A 14,176-nucleotide genomic window follows, 5' to 3' on the forward strand; every position below is an offset into this window, starting at 1 on the left:
TGGATATTTCAAGAACTTGGATAACAGAACAAACTGAAGGATATTTTATAAAAAGTATTTTAAAATTTAGAGAACTGAAGGAAGAAATAGAAATTTAAGGCAAGTAAAAAGATATGTCATAAAAAATAACAAGGTACACTTTGGGAGGCCGAGGCGGGCAGATCACCTGAGGTCGGGAGTTCGAGACCAGCCTGACCAACATGGAGAAACTCCATCTCTACTAAAAATACAAAATTAGCCGGGCGTGGTGGCGGGTGCCTGTAATCCCAGCTACTTGGGAGGCTGAGGCAGGAGAATCGCTTGAACCTGGGAGGTGGAGGTTGCAATGAGCTGAGATCATGCCATTGCACTCCAGCCTGGGCAATAAGAGCAAAACTCTGTCTAAAAAAAATAAAATAAAATAAAATAAAAATAAAAATAAAAACAACAAAACAAATAAAAAACAAGGTGTTTTGAAAAAAACCAAGAACAAGTTTCAGTAATGTCCAATGTAGTCATTGAGAATATGCAGGCTTCATCTGTGGACTTTACATATTGATTCAAGCAAATCAAATATAAAATTACATTAATGAAATAATCAAGGAATTTTAACAGACTGATTAAGGACTTGTTCATTTTAAGTATGAGAATGGTATTGTGCATGTCCTTTTTTAAGAGAGGTCTTAGAAAATTCAAAATATATTTTGAAATATTTCCAAACAAAAATTCTATGATTCTTGGGTTTGCTTTAAAATACCCTAGTGAGGGGGAAAAAGGAGGAATCCCACCCAAGGTCTTGAATCCAAGCTGAATTGTGTTTAGAAAGGAACCTGGAACAGAGGTCATGAAAGACAGAGTGGAAGTGGGAAGGATGGATGTTCGTTTCTCTGGTTGGCAGTTAGTACTGCACAAAGGTGAAAGGGGGGCTGTGTAGATGAGAAAAACATGGAAACTTCATCAGAAAAGTAAATCCAGCACGGCAAGGAGTTAAGTCAATGAATTCAATAGGAAATATTGTCTGTAACTGATGACAGCATGGCACAAGGACAGCATGGTGACAAATTATGTTAAGACCAAGGCATGGGTACTAATAAACAAACCCGGAATCTTGTTTCCCCAAGTATTTTTCTCTGTGAAATAGCATGGGCAGGTAATACGTATAGTGAAGAATGTGTTTTGTGAATGTACGTCACAAGATATAGTTGTCATTATTACAGTGAAAAGGCCTGGTAAGTCTTCAAAGAAGTCAGCTAATGGATATGTAAGTCCCCACATGCCACAGAGTCTTCTGTTCCACCATTTCGGCCAGGCCAACTGGTGAACCAAAGAAAGCTTGTAAGTCAATAAGCATACTTTTGGCTGGAAGTGACAGAATAGAAAACAAAACAAAACAATGATTAGTAGCTTGAATAATGAGTGCAATGATTATTTTATATAACAAAGTATAAGGTAGGTTGCTGCAGGTTAGCCCGGCAGCATGACGCCACTAGGAATCTAGTGGTTTTCATTGTCTATGCTGCCATCCTCAGCAAATGCGTTTTACCCTCCATGTTCTCCTCTCATGGTCATCAAACAGCTACTGCCATTCCAAGCAACACATCCTCACTTCACAATATCAAAAAAATGAGAAAGTAGGAGAGGAATCAATTCTTCTCACGTCTCTCCCTTTTCATCAGAGAGAAAAATATTTCCCAGAAGCCCCTCAGACTACCCAGTAAGTATCTCAGATGGCTCTACAGAAGTCCTTATACATCCATCTCTGTACAAGTCACTGGCAAAAGGGACTAGGATTAATTTGCTTGGCCCAGATCACACATTTCTCTTTTTTTTTTTTTAACTTTAAGTTCCGGGATACAAGTGCAGAATGTATAGGTTTGTTACATAGGCATACATGTGGCATGGTGGTTTGCTGCACCTATCATCTAGCTTTTAAGCCCTGCATGCATTAGCTACTTGTCCTAATGCTCGCCCCTCCCCTTGCCTCCCACCCTTAGACTGGCCCCAGTGTGTGTTGTTCTCCTCCCCGTGTCCATGTCTGGGAACACATTTCTAATTCCAAGATCCCTTGACATAATTGGCATTCTGTTCAACAAGAGGGGCATAGCTATTGGTTAGGAAACCAACATTGTCTGCCCCTATCTGATACTCATTTAAACATTTGCAATTTCTAATTTTCTCTGACAAGTCCATTTACCTGTCTAGGGTGAGGGTGAGATTGTTCTAGGGTGACAATGAGAATAAAACCTTGGGTCTCTGTGATAGGGACATTTCTATCTGAGCCCCAATGTGCCTTAAACCACCTCTTAAGTGAGATTTGCACATAATCGACTTATAGCGTATAAATGAAAAGAATGTCTCCAGGTGGATAGTGTCAGAAAAAATATTTTAAAAAAAGAAATAAAAAAGAATGTGCAAATTTTATATTGGTGAAGTGACACAGACAAAATAGGAAATATATTATTTTAGAACATTTTTGGGACAAATGCCAAAGTATAAATGTGATACTGCTTAAATTTTGAAGAATTTTGTAATATATACATATTATACAACTTCTTTTATCCTTCCAATGAGATAAATTTAAAAAAATGAATTTAGTAGAAGTATTTCAAGTTTTGACAGCAACCCGATAACTGTCCAAATTATAATGCTTGAGAGTTAATCTAACAAGAAATGAAATTCTGGTGACAAATCATGAGCATAATAAAGATAATCACTTTATTAAAGTAATGTGTCACAGTAGGTTTCCTGTCTTCTGCTCTCCACATGTAATCACAGGAAAGCGTAATATTCAGAAACTTTACAAAGTTGATTTAACAAGTCAAAGTTAGAGAAGTTTCAGTGCTTTTTTTCGTTTTTGTTTGTTTTTCAGAGAAAACTCATTTGAGAACTAGAATCTACTATTAAGAAAAAACAAAATGCTTTAAGCTAACTGCAGTGTCTACCTCCTTAAGAGGGGTGTGTGTGTGTGTGTGTGTGTGTGTGTGTGTGTGTGTGTGTGTGTTTTCATTTTGCTCTGATCTGAGTCAGATGTTTCTTCTCAAAAGTCATGGAGCCTCAAAGGTAGAACAAGATTAAAATATCCTCAACATTGTCTATCCACTGCTTCAATAAAAATGCCAGAGAGTCCCCACTCCTTCTCAATTTGATAATCCTTATCCACAGAGAGATGATTAAGAACAATCATACAGTAAATGATTAAGAACAACCACTTGTTCTATCCCTCATGAACGCTGTATGAATAAATAAAGGTAAAAATCCAAATTCCAGGCCTGACTTTGCTATATTGTCTTTTTTGAGTCTCATCACAAATTTAGAGTTGGCTAAATTTTCTTGCTTCGTTGAGGTATGTGATAGTTCAAGAGTACTGCCATCTTAAGGAGATTCCACCATCTTAAAGTATCAAGCTTTTATTTCTCAGAACTGTCTGTTGCTACCTGACTAAACTGCAAATGTCAGCCCCACCCACATCTTCAACAGAACATAATGACTCTAATCGCAACACAGCTAACATAGCTTATCCAAGTCTAGCCAGCACTTTCCCAACCCCTCCCTGATAGGAACCCCTCTTAGAGCACACTTCCCCCACTGGGCCTTTTTAAAAAGCCTTATGCTGTAAGAGAAGTTTGCTCCTGACCCTGATGGCCAGAAGCCCTTCTCAGGTTTACTCTCAATAAACCTGTCTTAACTGTTGAACCCCCTACTCGTCTCTCCCTTCCTTTCATCACTCTACCCTAACAGTATGTAATAAAGAAATGTAGGGGAAAATAGAACAGGTGGCCATTGTTTCTAAAGCTAGAATACGTGTAGGCTGTAGATGGAGTTCAAGCAGAGGATGTCACTTGGAATGTGAGCTACGATTTGGGGAAAACTACAGGGGTACCTATGCATATGGCAAGTAGTCAAGAGCATGTGTGGAAACACTACAGGGCATCCACAATTCCACTTTGTCAAGGTTTCATGGGTTCAGCTCTATAAAAATATAAGATGAGGAACAATGCTTTTTTTGTTTTTCTGAAAGACTCAAATTTGGCTGTTTTCAATTATCTCTGTAGTCAAACAACAATTAATTATAAATTCATTCTGAATGTATTCCCATGTGAGCACATCCATCATTTAGAAACAGAAAGCTCCCTGACCATGCACAAATATTTGGAGAAATGGAAGAATGCCTTAGATGTAAAGGGTACTTTATAGTTTTGGAAAGAGTTAAAAAATAAAAAAAAAATAGGAGTTTCATATCCATCATCTTTGATCTTCACAACAGTCTTTTGTAAAACAGGAAAGTGGGATTGAGAATGATTCATTGGCTTTTTTCCAAGGTCATAAACTAAGAAGTTTTCAAGTCAGGGACTAGACCTTCAGGCTACTCTTTAGTTTAAAGGCCTTTCAACCTCAGGTTCAATGCACTTTCTATTTTACATAACTCTGTGAGGTTGATATTTTAACATACGCATTTTGGAAAAGTGCACAGATTAAACATACAGATCTAGAAAAATGGCACCATGTGTTTTCTAAGTTGAATTGCCCAACTCCCAGGTAAGGGGGCCAAGTGGTCAAGAGCCCTTCTGTCTCTCTCTTTACCTCTCTGTAATTTAATCTCTTCTCTCCCTTTTTGCTGTTAATTTTTTAAACAAAAACATTAACATTTAACTGAATTTCTGCATGTGCATATTAATATTCAGGAAGACAATGACCTCTGTTCACTTTAAAGTGGTGAGTGTTATCATTTGTTTTGTTTGGAATGTCCATACCTTACTTCATCTCATCAGAGTGAGACCCGGACTAAAGTCCTATATCTTTGGAGACTTTTGTATTTTAAAAAAATAAACAAAGAAAAGCTGTAATTAAAAGTTTATGTTTTCATTAAAGAAATACTCAAAGAAGTAAACATTCAAAACTCCAAAAGAGGTAACAATCAGGAATTCTTAAATGATGTTGATGTTAACACTCTATTTTAGGCATAAACTGGTTGCTAAATGGTAAAACATTTAGAAAAGTTACAATCCCACTTTGGTCTTCTTATTTCACTTTTTTTTCAAGGATTAGGTTCATTAAGTGTTTCATAAACTGTTACAGATTTTGTGCTCAAACAAAAGAGAGTTTCAATGAAAAATGCTTTAAAATCATGCAAATTTCCTTCATTTCATATTTATAAACCTTACACCTAACAGAGCCTATTTCACAGTGTCAGGGACACATCCCAAGTGTGTCTAGTAAAAAAAAAGGAAATGACAGATTTGCCAAGCCTTCAAATGGAAATTTTAACATAAAATAAAGACACATCTTGAAATTATTTAGGAAGGCAAATTAGTCCTTCAAAAGGCACAAGCAAATATTGGGGTATCTTCTCCGTGAGTAGAGAGCACACCTTATCTTGGTAAAGAGAATGATGTACCCTGACCTCAGGACCCAAAAACAAATTGTTAAAAGGTGAACCTAGTCTCTTCTTGAAAGTTTCCTTTACCTTTTATAAGGAGACAACGTAATCCATCAGTGCAGAGAACAGCAGGGTAACTACATGCTCCTTGATGTGCAACTGGACAGGTACCTGTGCTTTGTTAAGGATGCTGAAATCTCAGGAAATCTGGAGGATTGAGGACCAGTTTCAGGGATGCCAAGAAGCAGAGGTGGTTAATTGTGGATTAGGGCACAACAGACTGTGTTGAGGACTGTTGTGAGCTATGCCACAAGTCATTGATAACTAGACAAAAATCATTTACCTGCTTACAATAAATTACAGGTATTCAAGGTTATGCCTATAAAAAGAGTTATCTCACTCTTGTGCATTCAGTTTGCTTTCTAAACAGGCACGGAAATGGGTGGAACAGCAGCTAGCTCCCTGGATGTTTCTGTATTTGGGAAACAACTATCCCTGCTGCTGGAAGTACGCGCATGCCCACAACTGCACACACAGGCAAGCACGCACAGAACATTCCACAGCCCAGGCCAAGCTCCTTTGAGACAATGAAGTGCAAGGTAGCCACCTGAAGAGAATAAAGCCTTAATTAAAGGAGGAGGAAGAGAAAGAAGAGAAAAGGTCTCAATGGTGTGATTTAATAAAGGCCAAGGGACCCACTGCCTTCACTGCACTATCAGGTGGAAGTACACAGCCTCATTTCTAAAATTCTAATAAGCAATAAGCAGTCTTAGCAAACCCTAGTACTTGAAGATGGATGGGAAGAGAGTAAAGGTAAAACATTCCAAAGACATCACGGGGCTGAGGGAAGAGAGGAGAGAAGTAAAGGCTTTTCATAGGCCCGACTCTATAGGAGGAAGAGGCTGGAGGAGCAAGGTATTAGAGCACGGTGCTAGAGAAAGAGTGTGACCTAGAGAATAATGGGTATATTGTGCAGAACTTATAGTAGAATCTTCCACACCCTATTAAGAGAGCAGGGAGAGGCGTGGTAATCATTATTGAAATAAAAATATACAGACAACAGGCCCTCCAAATTAAAAAAAAAATTGGACAAACAGAATCTTGAAGAGGCCAATAATTGAGAAAAAGGAAAAGGAAATGAGCAATCTAAAACATCAAAAATGTAGGAAAAGATGAAACAAAAACACTAAGAAACTAGATCCATGCATGCATTTTTAGCTGAAATACAGATAGGATAAAAGGCACGAACCAGATGCATGCCACTTACTAAGAAACACTTAAAATAACATGAAAAAAGCAATGAGCAAAGAGATAGTAGACAAATGTAAGCCAAAAGGATGTATTCTGTTTAGGATTTTTTAAATGAGTTTCTCATTCTTTTGTATAATACAACGTTTGTTTTTGTTGTATTTTGTTATAAATATAATTGTTTAAAACGAGGACTCTGGGATAGTGACACAAAGATATGACAAAGCGTGATTCTCAGATCTGGGAACTTGTGAAAAATGGAATTTCTGGGACCCCACTCCAAACCTTACAGTCATAGCCTTCAACATGAGGCCAGTAACCTGTTTTTAATAAGCCCTCCTGGCAATTCTGTTCATTTTAGGGTTTACATGAGCCTATAGATGTACTAGTGGCTTTGGTAGCCTAAGGGCAGCCCTCTGCCAAAGCAGGACGCTCCAGTGAGGGAAAACATAGTAGGGTCTGATGGGCAGGAAGAAAATGGTAAAGAAACGTGACGGGATGTGGATAAGCCACATTTGCGATAGCTCCAGAACAAACTTTAAGAGCTTTAGCAAGAGAGAGGGAAAAACAGAAGAATACACAAGTCTCACACACACACACACTGAAATTTCACCAGCTCAAGAAAGTTGCCTAACACGTTGGGTTCAAACAGTGTTGGATTTGAATCCAAGCTCTGTCATTTATAAGTTGGAATGGCATAAAGTGAGTGATTTAATTTCTTTAAGCTTCAGTTCCTTCATCTGTAAAATGGAGAAAATAGTCTTATCTCAGGAAGTTTTCGTGAGAATTAGATGAACTAAAGTAATAAAGTCTTTAGCATATCATTAGTACTTACAGCCTCAACAAGTGGTAGCTGTTATTTTAATAATAAACCTGATGGCAGCTACTCTAAACTTAGCTTCTGTAAGTGCTTTATAGGTTTTGATTTTATAATCCTCAAAACAATCTTATGAGGCATATACCATTATCATACCCTTTTTACAGGTGAAAGAACTGAGGCATAGAAACACTAACTGAAAGTTAACAGCTGGTAAGTAGCAGAGCCTAGATCTAACTCAAGCAGGCTGGCCCTGAAGCCTGTGCTGTATGCCTCTCCAGGATGATGTTAATGACAATACATGACTCCTCTTATTATTAGGACCACTCAAGATGTTTAAACTCTATTTTTCCACTGTGCTTTCTACCTGTATGTCATTGGCGCTCTGTGCAGAAATAGAGGACATGCCCAGCTAGTGGGGAAATAAGCCAGTAATATCAGAGTCAGATTTCTTCCAGTAATACAAAAGATTTGGCCCCCCGAATTGTCCTTTTATTTATGGTTTATTCAGCCAATGCAGTGGCACACATTTGTCCTTATTTCTGCATAAAATATTCAACAGTGCATGCTCTTCTATACCCTCTACCATCTACATGAGAAGGATGATCCCACCCATCTCTCATGCCAAGATTCTTAATTGCCTTTTAGCATTGCTCTTCCATGGCACTAACCTCGCAAAAACTCATACTTGAGTAAATTCTTCACCCTGCCTATCCTAGTGCCATTAAGAATTGGTGGAAAATGACACAACTATTATGGGACAATTCATAAAAAGCACTCAGCACACTTGCAATCACATGGAGTACACAAGAGAAATTTCAAGCTATTATTATCATTAGTCCATTTTCTTTCACTCTTAATAATGACCATTGTAGATATTCTCTGTTCTCCTCCAGGCAAATGACCCCTGCAACTCCTTCAACTTCTTGTCACTAAACCAACAGGCTAACTTGCATCCATATCTACAATTGTGATTTCCCTCACTTAAAGGGGGAGATGTTCCTTTTCCTACTGTTAACTTTCCATGGGCATTCAACAATTCTGGACCCCTCCTGCCTTTTCAGGACCTCCTTCATTTAATCATTCTTTCCTGTTCCTATAGCTTCAATTATTTTGTTGAAAATATTTTCTACAGTCAGGAGAAAAATGTTCTAGGACTTCACCCCCACTCACCCTTCAACCCATTGAAAACTGGCTTTTAGTCTCTAACACCCCCTTGTAATTGGTCTTACCAAAGCCACCAAATTTTAGACAATGTCATTATGTAATCCAGGAATTATCTTAAAGAAATTCCCCCCAAAATGGAAAACGCGATTATCATAAGACATTCATTGGAAACTCTTTTATGCAAAAAATTAAAAGTAAATGAGATGTCCACAGTTAAGAGAATGTTAAATTACAGTGCATCTACCTGATTGAAAACTATGCAATTTTTAAAATGGATAATTGTAAGTCCATATCGCAACACATAAAAATCCTTCTTCAGCTAACTTTAGTAAGAAGGAACAAAGTTTTTATGAGTACATTGTGATTGCAATAATGGAAGATCGTTTGGATGAAAAACAAAAGGAAGAGAGCCCACGAATATCAAAAATATTGCATTTTAATGTTTGAGTGTTGAAATTATGATTGATATCTTCCCTTGTATTTGCCCAATTTTTTGTAATGTTGTGACATTGTTTTCACAATTTAAAAAAACACCTTTTCATAGACCAGACAATTCCTACATAAGTTATGCCATATCAGTAAACCTGCTAAGTTTTTGCAGCTTTTCTCACATTTAAGGAATATATCGAGGGACTGTTTATCTTTAGCCTTAAGATGGCTGAGGGATAAATAATTTTTTCATTTTCAGCTGATCTCTTAAGCTGCTTCTGTTTGCAGAACACTCTGTTAAGCTTGGAACTCGTCAAAAAGTGAATTGAAGTTGACTTTGATTGGCATAAATACCATATTTATCTTCTCAGATACGTAATCAGGAGACAGCTATCTGGCCACACTTGATTACTAACATATCTAAAGCTAATGTAATATCTAAGTTTATCATCTTGAGTATTAGAGATAAAATCTGAAGCCCTCAGAGACAGCATGCCTTGTTTACCTTGCCCTCATCTTTTACAAAGAGGCTGTAATGCATTTTTTCATTAATTAATATCAGAGCAAATTTAAAGACAAATAAATTACATTCATCACTGTAATTGAATAAGTCTTTTTTAAAAAGTATATGCACCATGCGGAATTAGCAATATTCTGATCAATAAGTAGTTAAGAGGGGTCAAAATGATTGACTACTCTAAATATCACACCAATTAAAAATAAATATACACAAATAAATAAAGTGCTCCTCTGTAACTCGTAGCATTGCCTCCCAGAACATAACTTTTATACCGGCTTACTGTTGCATTCAGCCTTTATCTCCAAGTCTTATTTCATGTATTTTCCAGGGATGGATGGATTATAGGACAAAGTCCCTCTCAGGAGCTCACCTTCCTGAGATATTGTCCTTCCTTTTCTACATACACCTATAAAAAGGAGAATACAAATATTATTTACTACTATTTAAGACCTGTCATTATGATCTGATTTTATAAAACAAATATCAAGTCTAGATTAGTACTGTTTGGGTGTGGTAGACAGTGTTAGGGGTAAACATTGGTAAATCAGCTTTTGCTCTGCAATTTTTCAAATTACATTCACCCAATAAATGTTCTTCCTTATTCCAGCTTCTCCAGTTTGTAGTGTCTCCAGTTCACCCCTACTCCCACAGCACCCCACTGCTATTATGTCTGGAATTGGTGGGTTCTTGGTCTCACCGACTTCAAGAAAGCAGCTGCAGACCCTCGCGGTGAGTGTTACAATTCTTAAGGCGGTGCAGCTGGAGTTGTTCGTTCCTCCCTTGCAGAGTTGTTTATTCCTCCCTGTGGGTTCATGGTCTTGCTGGCCTCAGGAGTGAAGCTGCAGACCTTTGCAGGGAGTGTTACAGCTTATAACGGTAGTGCAGCCCCAAAGAGTGAGCAGCAGCAAGATTTATTGCAAAGACCTAAAGAACAAAGTTTCCACAATGTGGAAAGGAACCGGAACAGGTTTCCCCTTCTGGCTTGGGCAGCCTTTTATTCCCTTATCTGGCCCCACCCACATCCTGCTGATTGGTCCATTTTACAGAGACCTGGTTGGTCCATTTTACAGAGAGCTGATTGGTCTGTTTTGACAGGGTGCTGATTGGTGTGTTTACAATCCCTGAGCTAGACACAAAAGTTCTCCAAGTCCCCACTAGATTAGCTAGATACAGAGTACTGATTGGTGTATTTACAAACCCTGAGCTAGACACAGAGTGCTGATTGGTGCATATATAAACCTGGAGTTAGACACAGAGTGCCAATTGGTGTATTCACAATCCCTTAGCTAGACACAAAGATTCCCCAAGCCCCCACCAGGTCAGCTAGACACAGAGCGCTGATTGGTGCATTTACAAACCTTGAGCTAGACACAGAGTTCTGACTGCTGTATTTACAATCCCTTAGCTAGACATAAAGGTTCTCCAAGTCCCCCCCTACACTGAGGAGCCCAGCTGGCTTCACCCAGTGGATCCCGCACGGGGGCCCATGCGGAGCTGCCTGCCAGTCCCATGCCCTGCGCCCAGGGCACTCCTCTGCCCCCAGGGCGGTCGATAGGACCGGGTGCTGTGGAGCAGGGAGCTGCACTCGTGGGGGAGGTTCGTGTGGTGCAGGAGCCCATGGCTGGCCGGGGAGGCTCAGGCATGGCGGGCCCCAGGCCCTGAGCCCTGCCCCGTCGGGAGGCAGCTAAGGCCCAGCGCATCACAAGTGGGCCCGCACTGCTGGGGGATTCGGGGCACCCTCTGCAGCCGCCAGCCCGGGTGCCAAGCCCCTCACTGCCTGGGCCGGCAGGGCCAGCCGGCCCCTCCGAGTGCAGGGCCCGCCGAGCCCTAGCCCACCCGGAACTCGCGCTGGCCTGCAAGCACTTCGCGCAGCCCCGGTTCCTGCCCGTGCCTCTCCCTCCACACCTCCCCTCAAGCTGAGGGAGCCGGCTCCGCCCTCGGCCAGCCCAGAAAGAGGCTCCCACAGTGCAGCAGCCGGCCGAAGGGCTCCTCAAGTGTGGCCAGAGTGGGCGCCAAGGCCGAGGAGGCGCCGAGAGCGAGCAAGGGCTGCCAGGGCTGCCAGCATGCTGTCACCTCTCACCGTGACAGGTATGATTTCATATTCGTCCACTGTGTTGACAACAGATAAAAGTTTGAGAACTTCCAAATTAAAAGACCAGAAGAATATAGTTGCTTGTACAGCACAAAGCCTGGAGGTTTGCAGGCACCAATGAGATAGCACTATCTGTGTAAGGTGTGGTATCATACAAGGAGAGTCCAAAATAGTCTGAGGATGATCGAGATTAGATTAGGCTGTGCCTAATATTAGACCATAGGTACTTGTTTCTTTCAAAACCTGCACTGTTAAAATCACCTATTGTATATTTGTTTCATTCCAGGAAGTAGTAGACTGGTGAAGCCGAAAAAGAAGTTTGTTGAAAAGATATTAGAGGCTCACAGAAGATCTGAGAAGGCTGAGATTCCAAATCAGGTGCCATGCTTTCTGGAAAGATATATAAATTGTCCAAAAGTAGTTTTATGGGTCATCTGCTACTTCTGCCACCATGAGCTAGGTGCTACAGTTGGCAAAGCCACCAGGAACATGACTCTCCTCCCATCACCATGGTCACCAGCACCAGGACCTCTTCTGTACCACAGACTTGAAACTGTCCAAGAACACTTTATGGCTCTACTGAACCCTCACCTGGAGAATAGATTGACATTCCTCACCTCCTAACCCAAGTCCTGGGTAAATGCATCTGATTTATAGAACCACAGTGTGTCCTACCAGCACACGCTACCTTAGGGCACACAAATAGAGCAATACTCCAGTGATAGAAAAGATGTTTAAAGGCTGCTGGAAAGCAGAGTGCATAACACATACAATTTCAACATTTTACTGTCATTTACCTGTGTTAGTTATTTCCTTAATGAAAGACTCGTTTTGCTTAAAAGAGAAAAGATAAACAGAAAAGTGATAAAGCTCTTTAAATTCACCTGCTTGGGAAGGTGCCAGTTGCCCTGAGAACAACTACTATTTGTTCTGTAGTATATGTAAAGACTATACACAACTCTTAATAGTTAAAAAGAACTATACAGAGTTGTTATCTTATGCTAAATGGTGCAAAGTAATGTGTAAACATGATTTTACTTAACCTTTCCATAACCACATTAGTTGTTTACAGATAGGACTCAGAGAAGTTGGGTGACTTGCCCAAGGTCACACACCAAGGACGAAACAGAGCCAGGATTTCCACCCAGCATGAGGCCTGGCAGATGTTCAGTATTTCACCCAAACCACCACCCCCATCTAGGGACTTTTTGGGGGTTAGCAATACTGCATCAAGGGAAACCACCAGCCACAAGCTCCGTGCTGCTGCCTCACTAAGTTGTCCAAGCAAAGTGAAGAGGAACAGGAAGAAACACAAATTCAGAAGAGCAGCATACAAAGAGGTGATTCAAGGCTAGTTGCAAGATGAACCTCCCAATTTCCAAATTACGTATGTTGGAGCAGTGCTCTTCAAATTATGTTTTGCTCAAGTCTCCTAAAATAATTTGAATAACAATATATCCCCTCCAACATTTCCTAAATTGATATTTAAAATTTTTTCATTGTAAGTTTAAATAGCTTAAAAGCATGCAATTTCTAGTACATCATAAATATATTTCAAAATAGAAATCCCATCAATTTTAAATGTACCCAATGGAAACCACATACATACAATGTGATAATATCCCATCATCTCTTTTAAAAGGACATTAAGAAGCTACTCTTTCCCATTTTACCTTTTCCTTTTCTCCTTGAATTTGTATTTTACTTCCCTCATACAATTTAATTCTAATAAAATATATTTAATTCTTCAAAGTCTTTTATTAATCTCTTACCATGCTTCTCTATACTGAAAAGGTGTTGTGTTTATTAATTGAAACAAGTTTATTTTATTCCCTAAGTCTCTAATACTTAACAAAAAAATCTGGATTAAGTTATCATTTTAGTAGTAACAAGCGATTAAAACTATACAAATACACAAATAGATTTAAAATATGGATACATCATTACTAAGCACGTCTAAGATTTTTTGGAAGTCCAGGCATCCTTAATGAAATAACTGGAAATTTTGAAAAAAAAAAGTTCACGCTTCTTGATGTCAGATTGCTAGAACGGCACTGGGCTATCTCAAATTTAATGGTTTAAAGTGGAACATATGGGCTTTTACTTTCAAACTTGCTCCTCTGGTCCTTACATTTTCTATTTCCTTTAATGGACCTTTCAGTTACCTGCCTTAGAGTTACCCAGAGTGTGTGTTCCTCTCTCACCATTATCCACCAACTTCCAAATCAGTTTTCAAGTTCCATCCTGAGTCCATGCTGTATTTTTTATCTTCTGTTACCTTATATCTGCCACTACACTGAATTGTGTTGGTAGCTATTAACTGGTCTTCTTCTTTCCTTTCTTCTTCCCCAGCTAATATTGCCAGTCATTGAAATATTGCCAGTCAGTCCTGCTGGCTCGAGCAAGTTTGGGTTTTGTGCCTATCCTGCTTTAAAACCTTCTATCATCTCTCATTTCCTAAAGAATTCCTACCGAGTGCATTAGCTTAGAACTACTCATTCAAGGCTGGGTGTGATGGCTTATGCCTGTAATCCCAACACTTTGGGA

At 39.5% G+C, this 14,176-nt stretch overlaps 1 long non-coding RNA gene across 2 annotated transcripts in view; it reads right to left on the reverse strand.

Moving 5' to 3' along the window:
• The window catches only part of LOC101927329 (uncharacterized), a 154,205-nt gene extending 143,697 nt beyond the window's left edge, over positions 1-10,508 (reverse strand). For both annotated transcript variants that reach the window (XR_242624.4, XR_929946.3), the window contains exons 1-2: positions 10,235-10,508; positions 9,908-9,943 (exon numbers count right to left, since the gene is read on the reverse strand). This is a non-coding gene — a long non-coding RNA (uncharacterized LOC101927329). The remainder of the gene's footprint in view (positions 1-9,907; positions 9,944-10,234) is intronic.
• Positions 10,509-14,176: the final 3,668 nt, after the last annotated feature.

Source organism: Homo sapiens, chromosome 9 (assembly GCF_000001405.40).
Source record: "Homo sapiens chromosome 9, GRCh38.p14 Primary Assembly".
Lineage (NCBI taxonomy): Eukaryota > Metazoa > Chordata > Mammalia > Primates > Hominidae > Homo > Homo sapiens.